The sequence below is a fragment of the Homo sapiens genome, chromosome 16 (genome assembly GCF_000001405.40).
Source record: "Homo sapiens chromosome 16, GRCh38.p14 Primary Assembly".
Classification (NCBI taxonomy): Eukaryota; Metazoa; Chordata; class Mammalia; order Primates; family Hominidae; genus Homo; species Homo sapiens.
Window position 1 is genome coordinate 63300468 of NC_000016.10, and position 24581 is coordinate 63325048.

At 35.7% G+C, this 24581-nt stretch overlaps 1 long non-coding RNA gene across 3 annotated transcripts in view; it reads right to left on the reverse strand.

The window, feature by feature from the left end:
* Positions 1 to 24581, reverse strand: part of LOC105371308 (uncharacterized) — a 512336-nt gene that overhangs the window by 194757 nt on the left and 292998 nt on the right. For 2 of the 3 annotated variants that reach the window (XR_001752232.2, XR_007065221.1), the window contains exon 4: positions 4880 to 4953. This is a non-coding gene — a long non-coding RNA (uncharacterized LOC105371308). Of the gene's footprint in view, positions 1 to 528; positions 4954 to 24581 lie in introns of those variants that run through there. The other variant, XR_007065220.1, reaches the window with a different exon arrangement.

The following is a 24581-nucleotide window of genomic DNA, read 5'->3' on the forward strand; positions in this document are numbered from 1 at the left end:
CTGTATGTGATGGGCCAAGTGAAAGAGATCATGAAAACTGAACAAAAAGCACAGGGAGAAAAAAATTTACTTTACATTTGAGTTTCTAGATAATATTTCATTTTATTTTTACAACTAATAATAAAAAATATTTTCAATCTTGGTACTTGCATAATCACTGGTAGAAAAGAAACAGAAAGAGCGGCAAATCTTTTTTAAATGGAAGCTCTTCCTACACAGTTTATGCTGTTATGTGGCCAGTCACCACTTACACGCAGGTACCCAGCTGAACTGAGTCAGTCATGACCTTTTTTTTGTTTTTGTTTGTTTGTTTTTTGTTTTTGAGATGGAGTCTCGCTCTGTCGCCCAGGCTGGAGTGCAGTGGTGCGATCTCATCTCACTGCAGCCTCCACCTCACGGATTCAAGTGTTTCTCCTGCCTCAGCCTCCCGAGTAGCTGGGATTACAGGCGCCCGCCACCACGCCCAGATAATTTTTGTATTTTTAGTAGAGACAGGGGTTTCACAATCTTGGCCAGGCTGGTCTTGAACTCCTGACCTCGTGATCCACCCGCCTCAGCCTCTCAAAGTGCTGGGATTACAGGTGTGAGCAGTCATGACTTTTGTGCCAAAAAGTCCATGCAAGTTTCTGAAGGTAGGTAGGTCCTCACTTTGTAAATAAGATTTAACAATTCCATCAGAATTATACACAGAAACAAATTATGCTATTTCATCTCTAGCAATAGGCTGTTTGAAATTTAGCTTTATAAAGCAAAGGAAGGAACTTAGCATTCAATTTCGCAGGAGTGCACCTTGCCCAAAAGTTCCTTCCAGTAATGGCATCAGTTCTATAATATCCAAAAAGTAAAAACGTGTAACATCTCCTTGAATATCTTCAGTGGCAGAGAACTGACTATTATATCATTGGCAATCTCTTTGTATAATAATGACTCTGTCATATTGAGCTGACATATGTCTCCTTGGAAATTCATCCCATTGTTTCTATTCTCTCCTTAAAAAAGGCCTGCTTTCCCCTTGGTTTCTTTTTCAAGAGTAAACATGCCCCATTCTTTCCACAATATTTAAATGGCAGTGATTTCTGGAGCCTTGTCAAACATACTTGCCCTTCTCTATTTGTACTGCAGGTTGCCAATATGGCAGTAAATGAATGAAATGTCACCACTTGGAATCTTTCACTCTTGCACTTCTATAATCTCTTTGTTACATAACAATCAAGACATTCTTCTGAAAACCTAAATCCTGCCGTGGTACCTCCCCACTAAAATTTCCCATAATCACATAACACTTTCTAGGAGAAGGACCAAAATCTTTCAGTGCCCATGCCTTGTCTTTTTCTTCAGCCAATTTTGCAGCACTGGTCCCTTTGTTCGATACACTGGGATCACATTGATCATTTCTATGCCTGGAATGTATCCAGCTGTTTTCCAGCCCAGCACCTTTACACCCACCCTTGTTCTTTCTACCTCTAATTTTCTTCACTTCTGCTTTTATGTTGTCAACTGTTAAGCCTGATCTCGACAACAATTTCCTGGGCACCACTGTTGAGTTGTTATACTGTTTTACAGTGCCTCCCATTAATCCCTAGTAGTTAAGATTACAATTAAAATACAATTAAAAGTACTCTTAGTACTTAACAATTTTTAAATGTAGTTCTCACCTACTGGACTAATACACTTTATAAATATTAGAATTATGTGTATTATTTTCCCCACAGCACCCTCGGCAAGAAACATAATCCCAAATGCATAGCAGGAGTCAGAAAATATTGATTAAATTAAATATATAAGTTAAAATTATTTTCCCCATATAATACCTAAATCTTTACTTGTGAGACAGAATAGCATAATGCTTAAGACTTCAGGCTAGGGATGAAATTTTATCCTCCACCCAAATAGTTGTGTCATTTTGAGAAAAGTTATTTAAACGTTAAATCTTCATTCTCTTCTTATACAGAATGGGGTTAATAATCATTTCTCCTGCCTAGCCATAGTGTGGCAATTAGAAGAATTACATGTAAATCACTGAGCACAATTCCTACTTGAAATAAACTATGGTTAGCTTTGATTATTTGTCTTGCAGAAGCCCCACAGTATTGGAAAATATTAAGTACTTGCTAAATGGTTGTTGGAATGAATGGATCCCAGTCACAATGTACTGAAACACAGGGAAAACCCTCTGAATCAAGGGTCAGACTATTTGTATTCAGTTCTGCTCCCTCCAAGGAATGTCTCTGTGCTACCACGTAACAGCACTAATGATTCAATATGCCTCAGTTTCTTCAAATATAACAAAACAAAATTAGGATAGAATCTTTCTATCCTCTCTTTCAGTGTTGAAATATTATGGGTCAAATATGCTTTGTAGACAAGACCTCAAAATCTGTAATATTATTTGAGGCACGTTTAGAGTACCTGCTAGTCTCACAGTTGCCCTAAGGCTCTGTTTATGCAGGCAAATTGAAGAGGAGACATGAGGCTATTACAGAGTAGAATCTGGGAAAAGGTGACTCATTTGACCTGAACTGTCTCCACTGATACCTTTCCCTGGGAGACTGCTCAACTCTAGATTTGACAGTGTAGACAGAGCCTGAGGAAGGTTTGAGGGCAAATACAGATTGAGATAGTGAAACTTGCAAAATACATGCTCACTGCAAACTGTTTGATGATAAGGGATTGTACGTTGGCTGAGAGCATCATGTTTGGATGTAATGTAGTGTAATTTCTTTAACTCTACTTAGCTGGCCATATCTGCCAATAGTTTTGATTACACAATCAAAATGAAAGTTTGCAAGAAAAGCACGAGATTGATGTGTGGAATACATGCAAATGTAAAGTACCTTTGAATTCCAAATTTTTTCTATGTCATGTTGCATAAAAAAGAAAAATAATTTTAAGAATTAACAAACCGTAGCTATGGAATGGGAATTAAAGGACCTAGTGTTGAAATAAGGTCTTATACAGACTGGCCTTTGCACTCATTACCAATATATTCTGATAGCATCCACTTATCTCAAAACTCTCAAGCTATCTTTGTCTTCTTACAATTCTTCGATTATGTTGTCCTCCTTACAATTTGCAGGTTTGACTTTGCTTTCTCTCTCTGCTTAGACTACATTCCTATCATTCACTCATGTTTTTGTTTTCCTTTTGTTTTGGCCTAGCCAATTTCTATTTAAATTTTAGGTTTTATTTCAACTGTAGTTGTTCAAAATGAGCTTTTCATAATCTTTAGACCTCCTCTGGCAACCCCCTTCATATCTCATTTCAACTTGTAATTATTTTTTAAAAACCTACCATAGCTACAATTCATTAGTAGATATTTACTCATAAATATCTTTACTCTTTCTCTCCTTCAATTAGGCAAAAGATACTGTGAGCACAAGAATTATTTCTACTTTGTTTAGAGCTATATTCCTAGCAAAGCACAGATCAGGCATTGATATCTCTGGTTCCTAATGCACTGGGTAATATGTTATATGCAAGACCTAGAGTGGGTAATCAATAAAACAGCATTTTTTGAAAGCACGACCTGGGGAAGTCATTCTCCTGAATCTAAATTTTTGTTTCCTAGTATCTGAAAAGGAAGTTGAATGGCAAGATTCCTCACATTCTGTTATTATAGAGGCTGAAGGGCTGTTGTCTTCTGATTTGTGAAGAACTATTTTTGGTCTTTAATGGATTGCCTTCTATTCTTATTGTCTATTTACATCCTGCTCAGGTATCTAATCCACTCACAATAAAATCCTTTAATCATTTTTCTAAATTTCAAAAACATGGAACAATATATTAGAAGATGTTCTATTCCGAAAATTAGGAAATATGTTTTCTAAACTCAGTTCTGCCCCCAAATGACTATTCAATTCAGATAGATTATTTGGCATCTTTGGTGCTTAGATGAAATACATTCCATCACTTATGAAATAGAGGTGGTAACAAAGGCACTGTTTCTTGCTCTAAAGTTCCCAAGTCTCACATTATTTTGTAACTGGAGCAATCAGGCAAGAGAGAAAAAACGAGCTTGTTTATGGTGACAGGGCCTTTGGAAGTGTCAGAGGTAAAAGGACCTGTTGCTAGTGAGAAGTTGCTCCTGGCAGTGCCATGCCTCTGGGGAACAGGTTGGAGGTTGAATATTATCATAGGCAACACTTGAATTTGGTATATTGCAGGGTGAGTGGGAGTAGGGTGCTCTCTAACATTTGCGCACCTGTTTTCTTCGTGAGATTAAAATGTTCCATTGGTCTATCACCTTCATGTTATTTAATCATGGTATAACTTAAATATCTTAGAAAAGGCAGGTAAATCACACCCTAAACCAATGTGACAGCAAAGACAAATTACACATATCTGAATATTCAATGCTTTTTCTGATGAGGCAAGTTGTATGCAAAAATGTAAATTTGTTTATTCTTTAAAGACATAAATGTGGCAGCTTAATGCAAATTAAGTGAAAGAAAGTCCCATATGTAAAACCACAAGATTTTATAATTCTACCTACATTTTCCTCAAGAGAAGGGATGCTTTAAACAAAAACCCTTTAGTTAATTTAAATGTAATGAGAAATGCAGAAATATACCAACATTCAATGTAAATTCCATTCTAATATTTATACTATAGAATAATTTGCTGCTGTAACAAATTTTAAAAAATCAGAGTGAGTTAGTGGTACTACTACCTATTTCACTGTGGGTTTCCCTGAAATTCAAGAACCAAACAGTGGAGAAAGAGATCGCCCCAGAAGGAAGCCAGAATTTAAATTTACTTATAGAAGCAATGTTTCATTAAAAAAAATTATCTTACCTCACAGAGTTGTCTTGAAACTGTCCTGATGGAAGCAAAGAAAAAAATGAATTGAGGCTTACTTATAAAGATAGGAAATACTTACAGGTTTGAAAATGGCTTGTGATTCTTCCTCCATTTCAGTGTCCAACAAGCTCAGTTAGAACGTAAATGCAAGTCCTGGTGAGTAAATTAGAACAACAGTACACCAATGAGAAATGAGAGAGATGGTCATTACACACAGACCTGAGAGTTGCAAAAAAGATGGCGATTGTTGTGCTAATGTTTGCCGGAGGTATCCCACAAGCCTGAGTAAAGTGAATTTCACCTCTTGAAGTCTATTCTTTAATTGACACAAAAATGCAAGTCCCTGGAATGAGATTTGGCTGCTACCTTAAGGGTCGTGGGTCCTTTATCTTAATGTTTTATTGATGGAATTCTGCCATGCCCATCACTTGGGACAGTGTCAGGAGACTCATTAGTGCAAACAGCTCTTAGTTCCAAAGTTCCTTTACCAATCCTTTTCGCTGGTTTGAAAAACGCTAAAGAGAAAGGGAACAATTTGAGCATGGCTAAAGGGCTGTTTACTACAGCAAGCCATAAACTGCTTTTCTCATTCCCCTTTTGTAATTCGTATTTTATTTCATTTTCTACTTTTACCTGTGGTTCCCCAAGAAGGAATTCTTGTACAAATTCAATCTTCTAGACTTAACAGCCTTCTTTCTAATTTTTTTTTTTTTTGGCCGCTTAACTGTGGCTAGTGTACACTGTGATTCAAATATTCCAGAGACTTATAACATTCTGAATAATCTACTTTGTCATGTTGGAGTAGTATTCAAAAATGTAGACCAGGAGGGTTTTACTAATGATGTAAGTCTTATATCCCACATATTCTGTATGTATGTGTTCCTAATTTTCTTTTGCGGGGGGCAATCTTCACCCAATAAACATAGGTAATTATTGAGGATACTTTATTCAAGTGTTCTTTGACCAATATAATTTTGTAGGATTCCATCAAGACAGTCCAAAATTGAAAAATAAAATCTTCTCATAAGCAATTTCCAGAATTTTACTTCCAAGAAAGTTTTCATACAAAAACATTGTACATAAATACCAAGATATTTTAAAAAGGGTCAGTCGTGGTGGCTCACGCCTGTAATCCCAGCACTTTGGGAGGCCGAGGCAGGTGGATCATGAGGTCAGGAGTTCAAGACCAGCCTGGCCAACATGGTGAAACCCCCGTCTCTACTAAAAATACAAAAATTAGCCGGGCAGGTGGTGGGCACTGTAAGCCCAGCTGCTTGGGAGGCTGAGGTGAGAGAATCACTTGAACCCTTGAGGCAGAGGTTCCAGTGAGCTGAGATCATGCCACTGCCCTCCAGCCTGGCGACAGAGCAAGGGTCCATCTCAAAAAAAAAGACAACACACACAATATGCAAAGATATTAAGATCCATAAGATTATACATACACACACCCATAAACACATATATACATACACATATATACATATATATGTGTGTGTATGTATCTTTGGATTAGTGTTCAAGAAATGTTTATCAATATATTATCTCTATGCTGGCTGGTAGCCATTGACAGCCAGGGTAGTATTTTCTCAACTAAATATGAACTGGCACATACTCATTATTGTTCAGTGTTCAGGCATTTATGAGCAAAAGGAAATGGAAAATATCAATGGAAAATTCATTCAAAGTATTGAGGGCCTATTGGACCACTCTGTATATAACTCTGCTGAGGGTATTTGTGTTTCCAAGATTCATTTTCTCTCCACACTGAACACTGCACATGCTTGCTATAGGGCTTTATTCTTTTCATATTGCATAGAACATACTGATTAAGGTTAATAATTCTCATGATGCTGATTTCATTTATTTAAAACTAGTCAAAACTTTGGCCAATGTACGTACTCTCTGTGTCTTTCACTGTCTTGGTCTATGTTTATAAAATGAAAATAATAATATTGTCTATTTCATAGTTTAGTGGTAAAAGCTGATAGAAATAGCCATATTTTTATCTCAGTGATTCACACATAGTAAGCATTAAATATATTATTGTTGGTTACCATGATTATTGTTACTGTCAATATTATTTATTATCATTGCTTACACGTCCTTTCTTCAGACATTTGTTAGGCTTAATCTTTATTTCATGATCTGTAAAAACTTGTTAGTTTTTTTGTCTTCACTTATCTCTTTTAATCTAGAATCTATTATTTCAATTATGGTACATAACTCAAATGTTTACTAACTTCCATTTCCTATGTGTTCTGGTTTTAGGTAAAATCACTCTAATAGTTTGTCCCAGTACTGCTGGAATGATAATAACATCTTTGTGCTAGTGATGGATAAAAACTTAGGGAACATATCTTACTTTCTGATTTAAAAAATTTTTTAAAACAAAATATCTACTACAATATGTCCTATTCATATGAGCCTTATTATTCTACTGTGGTTTTTGCATCTTCAAAATTGCTTGAAAAATTAAAAAAAAATATGTGATTATTAACACAATTATTTATTATTTTTTTTTTTTTGAGACAGAGTTTCGCTCTTGTTGCCCAGGGTGGAGTTCAATGGTGTGATCTCGGCTCATTGCAACCTCCGCCTCCCACATTCAACGATTCTCCTGCCTCAGCCTCCTGAGTAGCTGGGACTGCAGGCATGCAGGCAAAAGCATACCCAGCTAATTTTTGTATTTTTAGTGGAGATGGGGTTTCACCATATTGGCCAGGCCGGTCTCAAACTCCTGACCTCGTGATCCGCCTGCCTCAGGCATGAGCCACCGCACCCAGGCCTGATTTTTTTTTTTTTAATAGTGTGTTCAAAGGAGAACTTCTCAGTGAGTTAGAATTGTGTTTCAGCTCTTGCTTTGCCAGCAAGTAGCTTTCCTATCCTGGAAAATGTTACTTCATTTCACTGAATCTTAGTTTGCTTATTTGTAAAGTTTATAGCGGGTAATTCTAATATAGGTCTAATATAATTTTAAATAGACTGCGAGTAAAATTTAGAAATGTTAAACATAGACTGGACCCTGTAGGAGCTTGATCCAAGACAAAAAGTAATAGAGAAATGATGAAAGCATTTAAGAATTAACAAAGGTATTGCCAATGTAATTTGTAGTAGAACTGGTTTACAAAAGATATATATTATGGAATGCGATATTTTGGAGTTTAAATAATCTGAGTATCAACTCCAGGCTGGCCCTGACTTCTCCTTCATAATTTATATCTGTTATCAGATTCAGTCGACTTTCCCTATTTGCAGGTTCTACATCCACAAGTTCAATGAGCACAGATAGTATATACTCAGAAAAAAAAAAATAAGACAAATAAAAAACACATAATAACAGCTATTTGTATTTTAAATGCTATTAAACGTTAATAGTCTTTATATTGTATTAGGTATTATAAATAATCTAGGATAATTAAAGTACATGGGAGGATATATGTAAGTTACATGCAAATAATACATAATTTTATATAAGAGACTTGAGCATCTGTGAGTTTTGGTATCTGTGGGGGTCCTGAATATTCCCTAATTGCCAAATCTTACAAATATATATTATCTCAAATTTAGAGATAATAATATTGAATTGACCCTCAGTTTAATTAATTGTGCAAGCCACTAATTTTTAGTGTTAAATTTTAAGTACTAATCTTTCTGACTTTGAAAATCCACATTTTTTTCATTTTTGCTGCAGTCTTGTAAGTGATGAATCAATATGAGAAGCAGTATGAAAAATCTCACTACTATACCAAGTTACGAAGGCAAAGAGAAAGAAAATAATTGAAGTTTATATTTTTTCGAGTAAAATATTTCTGACATAGGTGTGTAAGAAAATATGTGACTCAGTAGTCATCATGCAAAAAAAAAAATCCCATCTTTAATATATTCTCCCTTAACATATCTATCCTGAGAAATAGCCCTCATCTTAAAAAAAAAAAAAAAAAAAGGTGGGGGTGGCTGGCATGCTGAGCAGTTCTACCTAAGGAAGCAAATAATCAGCACTCCGAGATTTTTGGAGAAAACAACTCAATTTGCATTAAGTCGTAACAATGTCACACTTAAAGTTTGATACACGGGGCATATAGAATTTTTTAATGGAAGTTAGAAAAAGATGGTCTAGAAAGGAAACTTAAAAAGAGTATATTAGCAAAGACTTTTTCATCCTCTTCAGTAAGAATTTTGTAGTAGAGCTGATTATAATAGATCTACATATATTATATTTATTTACAATAAAATGTACTTAAGTTTCATTGGTGGACATATGATTCAGGTATCTTCACTTGATAATTATAAGGTATAAATAAAATTTGAAGATAAAGAATGTTCTGCTCATTGTGAGATATTTCTAGGCACCTGGGCTAGTTGTGTCCAGACTAATTTGCTCTCAAAATGTTAGCTAATGATAAGAATGGGTAAAACTTGACGTAGGGTTATACCTATATATAGAACATGTGTTACAGGCAGAATATTGTTTCCCCAAGGATAACCATGTCCTAATGTCCAGAACCTATAAATATGCTATAACAAAAGAGAACTTTCCAGTTAGATTAAGAGTACAGATCTGCAGATGGGGAGATTACCCTAATAACATGAGTTTTTAAAAGGGAAAAATGATGGAAGAAGAATGTGACATGAAAAAGACTGGACTTGCTATTGGTCACTTTGAAAATGGAGGAAGGGCTATTAGCCAAGGAGAGCAGTGAATGGCCCTTCATCTTACAAGCAGCAGGAAAACCCTGGACCCCTTTCCCACCACCCCTTCGGAACTGAATTATGCCAACAGCTCCATGAGCCAGCAACAGATGCTCCTCTATGGCCTCCAGAATGGAATGCAGCTTGCTGACAGGTTGATTGTATTGCAATGAGGTATGTATCAGACCTCAGACTTTCAGAAATGTAAGATAATAAATGTGTGTTGATTTCAGCCAGTAAATTTGGGGTAATTTCTTATGTGGCAATAGAAAACTAATACAGCATGTTATATATTTCATTTGTCTTGCAGGATAGTCCTTACACAGTGTTTTCTGAATACCCAATGATAGAGAATTTTAATAAATTTCCACATAAAAGTAAAAGCATAGACATGAAATACTGTTTTCAGACATATAAATTATTCAAACTGATAGGGTTTGAAGTATTGAATTGGGATAGAGCTTTCACTCTTAATTTTGGTTTTCCTTGCAGCCTATGGGTCAATTATGAGAACAATAAACAATATTTTCAGGTCAAGAAACAGAACTACAACAAAAGTTAATTATATTGAAATACAAATTACTGAAGTATTTTTATAATGATATAGAATTATAAGTGCTTCCCCATTAATACATTAAATAAAATATACTGGTAGGTTTCTTATTATTATTATTTTCTTCATTATTGTTAGTTTATTATTATAAGTAATATTTCAATGTATTTAAAACAGTATAATAAGATTGAAACATATTTGCAGTGGCCAGGAATGGCAAACTGTATTAATAATGATTCTATGATTTGTTTCCTACATGAAGCATAAAAAATATTAAATTAGGTGCACGATTTCCCCCTTTTGAAGTCAGAGTCCCTAGCACATACTCATGGATAAGAATTCCTCCTCTATGTCAACAGACTTATTAGGTTCCAAGTTTACTGGTGAAAAGCGACCTGTTCAAGAGAAGTCAAAGAACAGTGTATTCTAAAGACTATCAGCAATTTACCTCTAAGTGATAGTGAACCAGATAACATGCCTATGAACAACGGGAATGCTAATTTTCCTCAACTCTTACAGAAACAGTAGATTCTTCTGTGATATCGATAGATTAAGCAAAATGACACCTTATTTTGCTTCTTGTTGTCATTGCTAAATTGCATTTTGAAAACATTAATGATCTTTTTTTAAACATCTCATTTTAATCAAATAAATAAGTGTCCTAAAATTGACAACGGAACAAATAAAGTTGCTGTCTACTATGACACATACAATAATTGCATTCAAGATGCTTACAAATTTAAGGGAAATGAAGCATGATAAAGAAGTAACTGATAATGGAGCAGGTAAGCAATGAGTATATTGGATTTGGTGTGTGGGGGATGAGGAGTCGAGTAGACAGAGGAAGCCAGTAAGAATCAGGGTTGCTTAGGTGAGATTAGGGACTTCAGAGAAGAGGCAATGGCCGAGCTGGTTTCTGAAAACTACATGCTTTCTAGATCAAGGATTTTCATTTTCACACTACAAACATTTTGGACTGAGTAAGCATTTGTCCTGGTCGACTCTGCTGGCCATTGTGAAATATTTAGCAATATCTCTGGCCTCTATCTATAAGGTGCCAGTAAGAACAGAAGTTATGACACATAAAATATCTTCAGGTATTTCCCAATGACCCTGGGGCACAAAATCACCCACTGGTTGAAAACCAGAGCTCTGAGACCATGCTACTCAAAGTGTATTACAGGTCTCAGCAGTATTCCCATCACCTAGAAGACTGTTAGAAATACACAGCTTCAGGTTCCACTCCAGAATTACTAACTTCAAATCTGCCTTTTAACAAGACCCCCTCGCCTATTTTGCATACACAGATTTTGAGAAGCATCTAGGCAGTTGAAGCACCTGGGAAATGGGAACAACACAAACATTAAGAAGGAATAATATAGAGAACTTCAAGTGGTCAGAGGGCAGAGTAGGAATAAAACGCAAGACTGGAGAATCAAGCAAAAGCCAGAAGATAACACCTTTACAAGCTCATAAAGCATCAAGATGTTCTCTGGGCAAAGGACTTCAGTGAAGATTATTGATTAGAGAAGGAATGAAATATGATCAGATTTGCTTTAAAATAATTTTATGTTTGTGCAATTTAATTGTCACTCTAATTGAATGATTAAAGTAAGAAATGGGTGATTAGTTTGTGAATTTATTTAATATCACCCTCCGTATGAGCAACTGGCCATTTTCTGGTTAATTTGAAAATATGACCTGTCCCTCAAATCAAAGAGAGACCGTAAGTCTATAAGCAATTGTCAGGCAAAAATGTATAGCATTCGATATTTCTTTAAGAAGAAAGTCATGTGTAATGGCTGGAGAGGCATCAAGTTAAGATTAAATCTTTATATCATATTTAGATAGATTTCCTGCTGTTCTAGAAATTAATTTGAATCAATCATGATCTTTCCACCCTTTGTCATCCTTTATTCCACAGCTGAATTAGTCCATAGCACAGCAGCCTTACAAACTTGGAGGTCTGATTTTTTTCAGTTTGGCCTGGGGATAGGAAGTCAAAAGCTGGCAAGAGACAAATGCTTTGCAGAAGTGACAAATTTAGTTTCCTGGAGAAAGTTGCTGACTGCAATGTTCCAATTGGAACAGCTTATCTGCTCCTCCAGATGTTGAAATAATGACAGATGGTCACAGAAGCCTTGACAAGAGGAAGAAAAGAGCCCACTCAAGAGTACAACCTGTTTGTATGGAGAAAAATACCAGTAACACTTCTCGAGATCCCCATTCTGATGAGGCGTATATACATCTTTACAGCCGAAACATGGTATGACTGTATGCAAATTCACTGTAGGAAATTAGAGGATTTTGTGCTGTTGGAGACACAGACAAAACAGAATTATGACTCTTTTTTTCACAGGGTTTATAAATCATGAGGTCACTTTATTAAATATGAAATTACATCTGTGTACTTGAGCTGAATGACAGGACACTGGTTTATAATGACTAAAGATGTATGATTGCATTTTCCACACTCGTGGCAGAGAGATGAGTATTCCATTGTGTGTGACATTTCCAGCAATTCATATTGAAGATGTGTTTTAAAATCATTAACTTATTACTATCTAAATAAGGAATATAAATTAATACTTACCAAGCAAGTAAAAATAGCAAATCTTTAAGCAACTTGAAATTTTGTACGGTAGCACAAAAACTCACAAGATATTGATCCTGGCTGTACTAAAGAGTGACTAGGTGATATATTAAAGAGTGCATAATAATGAGTGATTAAGGGTCATTTAAATTATTTTACATGCAGATAATTATATTGTGTTTGAAATGTCAAAGACAACTTACCTGATGTATGTGTATGTAGGAAAAACAAAAAGCAAAACTGTGGTATTTTGTGTATCTGTGTCTTTTTCTGTCTTTTTGCATCTTTGTTTTTTTTCTCTCTCTCTCTCTCTGATTTTCTTTAAAAGAGGTCATTAATTCTCCTGTGAGAGAAACTTTTCTTTACCAGAGGAAAACTACGCAATTGTAAAATATAGTTTGCAAGATGAAAGAAATGTTTCTCCAAACACTTCACCTTCTCTAAGAGATTTCTTTGCATCTTACCTGGACTGCTGAAGAAGCATTTTCACAGTATCCTTTGCAATAACTTCCCTTGCATAGCTGAAAAGCACTTATTATGAAATTATTTCTGCATTCAGTTGAAATCTAATTCTTGTCTGTGCACTCTGAACCATACTCCTCAAGTAAATCACTCTATGACAAAGGACTAGTATCTAGAATCTATAATACAAGAAACTCAAACAAAACAGCAAATAATACCACCCGTAAGTGGGCAAAGGACATGGATATTTTTCAAAAGACGATATCGAAATGGCCAAAACAAATGAAAACATGCTCAACATCACTAATCATCAGGGAAACGCAAATTAAAACCACCATGAGGTGCCACCTTACTCCTGCAAGAAAGGCCATTATTAAATTTTGAAAAACAATAGATGTTAGTTAGTGTGGATGTGGGGAAAAGGAAACACTCATATACTGCTGGTGGAAATGTAAATTAGTACAATCTCTATGGAAAAGAGTATGGAGGTTCATTTAATAGGTATAAGTAGATATACCATTCAATCCAGCAATCCCACTACCCAAAGGAAAATAAGTCATTATATAGACACTTGCACACATATGTTAAAAAGGGCAGAATTCACAATTGCAAATATGTGGACCCAATCTAGGTACCCACTGACTAATGAGTGGATAAAGAAAATATGGTATGTATACACCATGAAATACTACTCAGCCATTAAAAAAAATGAAATAAAGTCTCTTGCAGCAACTTGGGTGGAGCTGGAGGCCATTATTCTAAGTCGACTAACACAGGAGTAGAAAACCAAAAACCGCATGTTCTCACTCATAAAGAGGAGCTAAGCTATGAGTAAGCAAAGTGACATAATAAACCTTAAAGACTCAGAAGATAGAGGGTGGGAAAGGGGCTAAGGATAGAAAATTACACATTAGGTGCAATGTAATCTACTCAGGTTATGAATGCACTAAAATGTCAGTATTCACTACTATATAATTCATCCATACAACAAAAAGACCACCTGTACACCAAAAGCTATTGAAATAAACATTTAAAAAAAAACATTAAAAAAAAGCTGATACCCCTGACCCAGAAAAATATAACAAAGTTTCTTCCCCCGTAATGATTCATTTGAGTTAATGTGTAATCTTTCCAGTTTGTAATGACATTTTAAGCATTAACTCTAAGTAGAGAGGACAGTGTGCTCTTAGGTAATTACTAAACACCCAACAGTTATAAAATTCATGTATCTGCATTTAGATAACAGGGATATCTCTTATAAATCTAGCTTATTGTGTCACATCTTACACACTATTTGCCTTCCCTTCTTTCTCTATGACACCAGGGACATACATAGTTTGACCAAAATCCTTCTAGCTGTATTTCGGATCTGCATCTTCCAACCCCACAACCTTATCTACTCTACATCCACAAAACTGTATTTATGTGATGAACATTTTCTTAAGTCCTATTATGCTTTGGGCCTGAGCTAGCTGATTAAAAGATGATTCAGATGTAATTATTGTACACCAGGGATAGACAGATGCAAAGGAGTCTTTGTCAAAACCTCTATGTCTTTGTAATTCCCTGTTAAGATAAATTTATAGCCATGGGAGTTATTTATATATAAGGAAATGATGGCTGAGAGAAGTTAAGATACTGACACTAAGGGGTGCAACCAAGACTCAAACACACTCTATGAATAAATCAGAAAGTTGTAAGCCAGCTGGATCTTTAGGTGTACCAAAGAGGGGACATGAGGAACTCAGGAAGACAGAAGCATGCCAGAGTGGACAGAGAACAGGCTGTTCACACAGAGCCTTCCATAGCTTCCTACTGGTGTATTGGAATGTGACACACCTCTCAGTCTACTCTAAATAGAGTCTAAACAATCCACCAAGGACAGCGTATGTTTACATTACACATGTTTACACACAGCCCTGCTTTGAATGATTAACAAAAATAAGCTAGAAACCCAGAACTTCTATGAGCATGTAGCAAAGCCACAGATATAATTCTTTCTGAAATTTTTAATTTGGCATTTCAGAAAAATCCAGACATTTGAGTCTTCTGAAGATCCTCATGTAGTGAGTAACAGATAAACAAAATTATTCAGTTTTTTTTTCTGTTGAGCAAACCAAAGAATATGCTTGTGCATTCTCTTTGCTGCTAATTATTTACATCATTGGAGAGAAGATAATATATGAGTTATACAAGCTGATGATACATTTAAAATGATAGTGTCCTTAGGAATATTTTTATTGAAAACTCTATATTCCAAATCTGGTCAGTGAAGAAATCACATTGCCAATCATTACATAGGCCATTATACCTGTTTTAATACATTGCATATTCTTTTTCTTTTCTTTTTTTTTTTTTTTTTTTTTTTTTTGAGACGAAGTCTCGCTCTGTCACCTAGGCTGGAGTGCTGTGGTGTGATCTTGGCTTACTGCAACCTCTGCCTCCTGGGTTCAAGCGATTCTCCCTGCCTCAGCCTCCCGAGTCGCTGGGACTACAGGTGCGTGACACCACACCTGGCTAATTTCTGTATTTTTAGTAGAGATGGGGTTTCACCATATTGGCCAAGGCTGGTCTCGAACTCCTGACCTCGTAATCTGCCTACCTTGGCCTGCCAAAGTGCTAGATTACAGGCATGAGCTACTGTGCCCAGCCTTATTGCATATTCTTTGGCAAAAATACATGTTTTACATTTCATACCTTTTGAATAAACAAATACTCAAATCCATTTAACAATGATTAAGTTCTTCTCTTTTTTGTTTTATAAAACACATAATTTACAAATGTAACCATTTTAAGTTTACATTTCAGTAGTGCTAATGTATGCTCATTGGTGTGCAACATCTCTCTAGAAATTTTCCATCTTGCAAAATTGAAACCCTATATACACTAAACATTAACTCCCCATTTCCCTCTCTTCCAGACCCTGGCAGTCATCATTCTACTTAATGTTCCTAAGAGTTTGACTACTTTAAATATCTCATGTAAGTGAAATCATGCAGTATTTGTCCTTTTGAGACTGGCTTATTTTACTTAGCATATTGTCCTCAAGTTTCATCCATGTGGTAGCAGAATTTCCTAATATTTTAAGGCTTAATAGTATTTAATTGTATTAATATACCATATTGTCTTTATCCATTCACCTGTGGATGGACATTTACGTTGCTTTTAATTCTTGGCTATCACGAATAATGCTGCAGTTTCAAAATATCACTTTTAGATCCTATTTTTGGCCAGGTGCGATGGCTTACGCCTGTAATCCCAGCACTTAGAGACCTAGGCAGGCGGATCACGAGGTCAGGAATTCAAGACCAGCCTGACCAACAAGGTGAAACCCCATCTCTACTAAAAACACAAAAATTAGCCAGGCATGGTGGCGTATGCTTGTAATCCAAGCTACTGAGGAGGCAGAGGCAGGAAAATCACTTGAACCCAGGAGGCGGAGGTTGCAGTGAGCCGAGATTGCACCACTGCACTCTAGCCTGGGCAACAGAGCAAGACTCCATCTCAAAGAAAAAAAAAATCCTGTTTTCAGCTCTTTTAGATACACATGCAGAAGTAAGATTACTGGATCATTGGTGATTCTATTTTTAATTTTTTCAAGAAACCCCATGCTACTTTCCATAATGGCTGCACAATTTTACATTCTCACAAATGTTCCAATTTTTCCACATTTATGCCAGCACTTGTTATTTTTTGGCATTTGTTTTTATTGACCATTCTAATGGGTGTCCAGTGATACTTCATTGTGGTTTTATCTTGCATTTTCCTGATGATTAGTAATGTTGAGCATTTTTTAATACATCCTTTCGTCATTTGTGTATCTTCATGAAGGAAATGTCTATTTCACTCCTTCACCCACATTTTAATCAGATTAATATTGTCATTGTTGAGATTTAGGTGTTCTTTATATATTCTGGACATTAACCTCTTATCAGATATATCAGACATATGATTTGCAAATATTTTCTCCTGTTCTACATGTTGCCTTCATTTTTAATTTTATAGGATATTATACTTTAGGAAGCATGATAATAAGCTTTTTCCCGAGCTTTTGTATGTTGCCCAAAGAAAGTATAATCTAGTATCAATGTAATAAACAAAATCTGAAAACTTTACTTATCACTGCTACTCACAAACTGTGAGACTTTAGAAAAGTTAAACTTGGTGAGTTTCTTTATTTACAAAGCAAAGAATTTGGGTAGAAATGTATTTGTAGCCAAACAGCTCTGTGTGTCGGTTATAACCCTAGGCCTTGGTGAGCTCCTTGGCATTGGAATGCTTATAGGCTAGATGTGGAAGAAACATAAATAAATAGATAAATAATTCTGAAATAGTTACCAAAGTAAATGTGCTTACTTTTCCAAAGAAATTGATATTAGGGGGCTGTTGCTTTCTGTGGATGGCAGTTTACAATAAAAGCCTGCATAACGGGGAGTACCAAGCTTCCTGGCTTAGCAAAGTGACAGTTGCACTACAACAAAATATCATGTTCAATATTGTGATGTCTCTCCCCGGTAAGCAAAGCCAGCTAGGATGAAGTCAGGGTGGTTGTCTAGCGTCCAGTGCCTGAGGACAGTTTCATATCCAGAGAAGAAAAATAAGAGCCGCAGACGTGCTGTGGGAATTTGATGTAGTTACATTGCCTCTCTTAATCTCAGTTACCTCACCTTTAAATTCAAAGGGTTGGTGTGGTTGGATATTATTTGGCAAAAGAAAGGTAAACAACAACAACAAAAAAACCAGAATGACTTGCACATGAGCCTAATTTGTTATACCAAGTGACAGAAGCCACACTCAAATGACGAAGCATTGAAAGATTCCGTTATCGAAAATATCCAGAATAGGCACATCCATAGAGAGAGAAGGTAGATTAGTGGTTATCGGGGCTGGGTGTGGAAACAAAGATTGTCAGCAAATACACACATGGAATCTCTGGGGTTGATTGAAAGGTTCTAAAACTTAACTAGGGTGATGATTGTAGAACTCTTTATATTTACTAAAAATTATTGAATGAGACAAATAAAACTGTGGATTTTATGACATGTCAATTCAAATTCAACAAAACTGATAGAAAAAATATATTAAAAAATATATATTAAAAAAAAAACCCTTGAACATGTAGGGATAAACTCTCAAAGGCTTTTCTCAGGTCACAGGTATTCTGATTCTGTGATCTCAAGTATGATTTTTGTAAATTTTATTTTCTGTATTTTCTTTAACTTTTCAATTAAATTTATATATTCTTTTTCTAAGGGCCTGGCCCCCACAAAGATGTTTATATTGCTTTTCTGTTGAAAGATGTGCCAAACCTTTACGCACTTTATATTGCTTTCATATCCAGCTCTAAAGAAGCTCTCAATAGTCATCACACTATATGCCACACAGTTCATTCTGAAGTTTGGCCAAAGAAGCATTGTTGTTAGATATACAGAATTTAACTCGAACCAATCATTTCCAATGCTCTACGTAACACAACTCTTGAAATTTTGGCAGATTTACCCTTCTAAAATGACTTATATGCATCTACACCTTTTAAGAAACCTGGGATAATTTAACCATTCCTACTTTGCTATTCTAAACAGAAAGGATTCTGCTCTATTTCACAATAATCAGCTTCCTCTAGGGAACAAACAGTGAGAAACATGAATTATTAGTGTCCTTAGCAGAAGTTATTTTGCCTGTTAAAAATAAACATATGCATCTTAGTTAACATCATCCTCTTATTCAGATTATTAACACTTCTTGTCAGATCAGCCATAAAGGAAAAAAAATATGTAAAAAGCTAATGGGTGGATTTTACAGTAAACTGCATGTACACACACACACACACACACACACACGTTGTTTGTCCCCCAAATGTGCCTTTCATTTATTCAATAATGTTGAAATCCCATGTATCTGTAGTAAGTCATAAGATATAAAAATGAACATAACCTTGGCGGAATATATATTGACTTCAGGTTTCTTCCTTTCTCCCTCTTTTCTTTCGTTGCTTCCTTCATTCTTTCTGTATGTAAAGAACTGTAAACTCCGTGAGGTGAGGGATGGGGTAGGATCTTACTTTCCATCATTTTCCCAGCAGTTATCCACAAGCCTTGCTCAAAAGATATTATGAGTGAATGAGTGAGAGAGTGAGCAGTTTACCCTAACCTGTTCACAGTAATGGATTCCAAGAAATAAAACTGTGTCTATCCCAGCACTTTGGGAGGCCAAGGTGGGCGGATAACCTGAAGTCAGGGGTTCGAGAGCAGCCTGACTAACATGGTGAAACCCCGTCTCTACTAAAAATACAAAAAAATTAGCCAGGCGTCGTGGCATGCACCTGTAATCCCCGCTACTTGGGAGGCTGAGGAAGGAGAATCGCTTAAACTTGGGAGACGGAGGTTGCAGTGAGCCAAGATCGTGCCATTGCACTCCACCTTGGGCAACAAGAGCGAAACTGCGTCTCAAAAAACAAACAAACAAAAAAACTGTGTCTACGTTACATCTGGTCTCTGTTATTACATGTCATAGTGAGGGAGACAAATATTAAACAAATAATTATGCAGGTGAAGATCGCAAAAGAGAGTAAATAAAACAGGTGTCTACTCTCCTCAGTTACTGTTTATAGTTTATACCAGTGATTCTCATTCGGAGTATTAGAAACTTATTAGAAACTGTGAGGAATTTATAAGAAAAATACCAAGGACTTACATGTGGGTAAATTCAAAATCACTAGAAAGCTGTCTAGGGCATTGGTATACATTTTAAAGTATATTTTCAGATAATTATAATAGGCAGAAAATCTGATTTATAAATTGATGATAATGTAGTCTGGACATGGGTGCAGACATCTCTGCTCTCCTACAAACTCAGATAGGCTGCTAACCTGCTGGTTTACTCTACACAGGTAGGAACCTGACTCTTTGCATGCCAAACTTCCCTGCCCCCTCCTACAGACCTTTCACGTGGTCCTCAATATAAAGCTTTAATGAACGAGCATATAACTTAGCAAATAATGCTACCATCTGCCTAGTCTTCAAAGTTATAAAGAAATGTCTCTGATTTCTCTCTGTCTATATTGATTTGCATAATGCTTTTAATCCCACCATATTTATTTTTCAAGTCATTTTTCACAATCTCAATAGCTATGGTGAGACTCCATAATCTATGACCTAGTGATTGTATTGGTGTCCTAAATATTGTTTTTCCCCTCTATAATTTATTCCACTTGCTCCTAGAACAAAGTTATCTTCCTACAATACATATCATGTTATTCTCTGAGAAAAACAGTGAGTAAAGAAAAATTCCTTCAGAATAGTCAATTGTAAAAATTTTAGATTAAGATTTCAAAGACATTTTCTTACATAATTAGAACCTAACACGTGCTTTCAGTCTCTTCCTTCTCAACTTCCTTCTTCTCTGCCTGCCTCTGTCCTCTATGTCATTTGTCTTCATCAAATCTGTTTATTTTTAATTTATTTTAATATACCAAGTAAACATTGTATATTTTTATGGTGGACAACATGATGTTTTATGTATTTACACATTGTGGAATGAGTAACTCAAGCTATGTAACATATGTATTACCTTACATAGTTTTTTTTTGTGGTGAAAATAGTTAAAATATACTCTTAGCAATTTTCAATCGTACAATATATTATTATTATTATTAACTATATTCACCATGATATACAATAGGTCTCTTGAACTTATTTTTCCTAACTGAACTTTTATATACTTTGACAAACATTTCTCCACTCATCCCACCGCTCAGCCTCTAGTTATCACCAGTTCACTCTGTTTCTATGAGTTCTACTTTCTTAGATTCCATACAGAAGTGATACCATGTAAAATGTGTCTTTCTGTGCCTGGCTTACTTCATTTAAAGTAATGTCCTCCAGGTTCATCCATGTTATCACAAATGACGGAATTTCATTCCTTGTTAAAGGTGAATAGCATCCCACCATGTATATATTCCACAATTTTTTTATCCATTCATTCACTGATGGACACTTAAGGTTGATTTCATTTCTTTGCTATAATGGATAATGCAAAAATGAACATGAGAGTGCAGACATCTCTTCAAGATAATAGATTTCATTTCCTTTGCATATATACACTCTGTAAGGAGACTGCTGGATTATATGGTAGTTCTGGTTTTAATTTTTCAAGGATATTACATATTGTTTTCCAGAATAAGAATGGCTATATTAATTTACATTTCCTTCGATAGGGTACAAAGGTTTCCTTTCTTCTATGTCCTCACCAACATACCTCAATCAACATATCTGATTTTTAAACCTCCCTTGACTTGCATATGCTATGATTCTGACCTGAAATCCCTTTCTGCCCTATTTCACTGAAACACTTCATTACCTAGCCAGACACATGCCTATAATCCTTCAAGGAATGTAAACTAATTTATAAACTCATACGGTTTTTCTGTTTCTTGGAGATTTTTAAAGCATGACGCTGGTTTTAGTAGAGGAAATCAGTCAGTTTCAGACCTTCCAATCCTAATTATGTGACCAAAAGTAAAACTTATATTAAGAAATAAATTTCCTTTACACCTTATATCTTTTTCTTTGACATCACCAAGAGATTGAGTCATTGATTACTTACAAGTGAGTATCATAAAAGTTATGGATATTGAAGATGGCTGCTTCTTACAAACCAAAATTCTGGAACAACATCACAAACATAGCTTACAAACAGTTATCTATGCCATAGAATATGGTAATTTTTAAGTGTATATACAGTGTAATCTGTGGAAAAAGTTCATAGGTGTATATCTTGCAGTGGAACTGTCTAAGGCATTTGAAACAGAGCAACTCCATCTTGAGTAGGGGCTGGATAAAGTGAGGCTGAGACCTACTGGGCTGCATTCTCAGATGGTTAAGGCATTGTAAGTCCAAGGATGAGAATGGAGGTTGGCACAAGATACAAGTCATAAAGACCTTACTGATAAAACAGGTCACAATAAAGCAGCCAGCTAAAACCCACCAAAATCAAGATGGTGACAAGAGTGACCTCTGGTTGTCCTCACTGCTACATTCCCACCAGCGCCATGACAGTTTACAAATGCCGTGGCAATGTCAGGAAGTTACCCTATGTGGTCTAAAACGGGGAGGCATGAATAATTCAGTCCTTGTTTACCATATCCTCAAGAAAATGACCATAAAAATGTGCAACCAGCAGTCCTTGGGCTACTCCGTGGAGTAGCAATTCTTTTATTCCTTTACTTTCTTAATAAACTTGCTTTCACTTTACTGTGTGGAATTGCCCTGAATTCTTTCTTGTACAATATCCAAGAACCCTCTCTTGGGGTCTGGATCCAGATCCCCTTCCAGTAACAGAGATGTTCTTATGAAAGATTATTATCTCAAATATTCGTACTCATGCGTCTTTGTAAGATGCTATTCTTCAATACGTTTCCAATAATTGTGACTGAAGAATATATACTATGTAATTATCATAGACCATTTACTAATGTAGCTAGAACTGGAGATTTTTGGTACCTGATTTATAACTTAAGGAGCCACTGAAACTTTTAATAACCAGGAAATCCACATATTATAAGCAACAGTCACTGTGAAAAGTCTGGGAGATAAGTGGTAGAAATGTGGTTTCCTCACATAATAAAGCAGATTATTAAATTTCTTAAAATAAGTAATCCCGGAAGAATGGTCATATATTGCTAACTTCATGAGTCACCCTGAAGACTCACTTCTATTTAGAGAGTGAATCTCCTGGATTAGAAGATTTGCATTTAAATGGTATTTCCCTCTCTTGCAGCTACAGGTTTCTGCATTGGATAATACTGCTTTTTCTTTGTGTAGCATGTCCATAAAGGGTCCTAATAAATCCCACCATTGTGATGAACCTTGAGTTTGTCAAAAGACTTTTAAGCTATTCTAACAGATGCATTTGAAATAGGGTTTTCTGTATTTCCTTTTGGGAGTTTTTAAGGATGTTTAGGATAATTAGCTATTTCCCTACAGGCCATCTTTATAATTAAAAACATAAAATGCCACCCATCTTCTTAGTGAATTAAACAAAACACGCATTTGAAATCTAGCCACTAATTTCAATAGCAAAATAGGCAATAGTTTAACAATTATAAAAATACTCTTCCTAATATTGTAAGCCTTTTAGTACAAAGTATTTGAGAAGTTAAGTAAATAATGAACTAAAGGGAACATTATCAAGAATTGTGGTGTTGAAGGATTCTCGTTTAACACCACAGAACTCAGATTATTCGGTATAATATCTCCATTTTAGAAATGACTTGTCTGATGGCAAAAAGGAAGAATCATAGTTAGAATAATGTAAAGGATGTGGTAACATTTGTGGTGGGTTGTAGATATTTTGTCAATATTAAATGTTTTCTAGAACTGTCACAGACTTAGTTCAATGTGTTATTCATTACAACAAAAGACACATGTAATGGAAATGCCTATTTGAGGTGGTTGAGAGAGAGAGGTAGAAAAACTCTGTACACATTTAAGCCCCTTTTACAAAAATTATGACAGAAAAATCTGACCTAGGAAAATTATGAAAGTGAAAGAAATGTGACCTAACTGATTCAATCTTGCTTCTAACCTCCAAGCTGTCCTTGTTCATTCTTGGGCATAGGCCAAGCTAATTATGGGAGGAAGTTACTTTGTACTTTAACTTTGAAATAAAAATGATAACAGCCCCTCTCCCAAACTAACTCCCTCCTTGCTTGGGGATCAGACTGCCTTTGTAAAACAAACAGATTAACCACAACATTAGAAATTATGTCTTGGAGGTCAAGCAGCCAGAGGCCACGAGAATCCTAACTTCCCCAGTTGCTCCTGTAGATAACATTATTGTTGTAAAATCTATCATTGGTGTTTGAGGTATTTTCAGACCCTTCATTCTCATGGACTAGCTGGTACCACCCAGACCAGTTAACTGGCTCCACCGGTCTTCTGGCCCCAACCCAGGAACTGACTCAGCCAAAAAAGAAAAGCTCCGAGTCCCTCTGATTTCATCCCCAAGCCACCCAATCTTTTGTAGACCATTCTACACTTCCCATTCTCTAGGCCCTTGCCTACCAAACTACCATTAAAAAGACCTAGCCTGTGAATTTCTGGGGAGCCTGACTTGAGTAATAATGGAACTCCAATCTCCCATGTAGCCTGCTCTGTACTTATTAAACTATTTCTTTATTGCAATAAGAGTGTCTCAGTACATGGGCTTTTCTGGCTGGTGAGTAAAATAAGTCCATTGGGCAATTACACATATCATATCTCCATAGTCTACGTGTGTGCATGTGTGTAGCATAAACCACTCTTGAAATACACAAAAGTAGACTTGAGCCAATGGAACGATATGTCCCTTGCTCTTAGTTTAAATGTCTTGAAACATCACAATTTTAGTTTTCCCTAATTTGGTTTAATTTATAATTTTATTTTGATTCCATTAAAAATACAATCAATATTTTTTTTTCTTTAGAGTAGTAAGTTGATACTATAC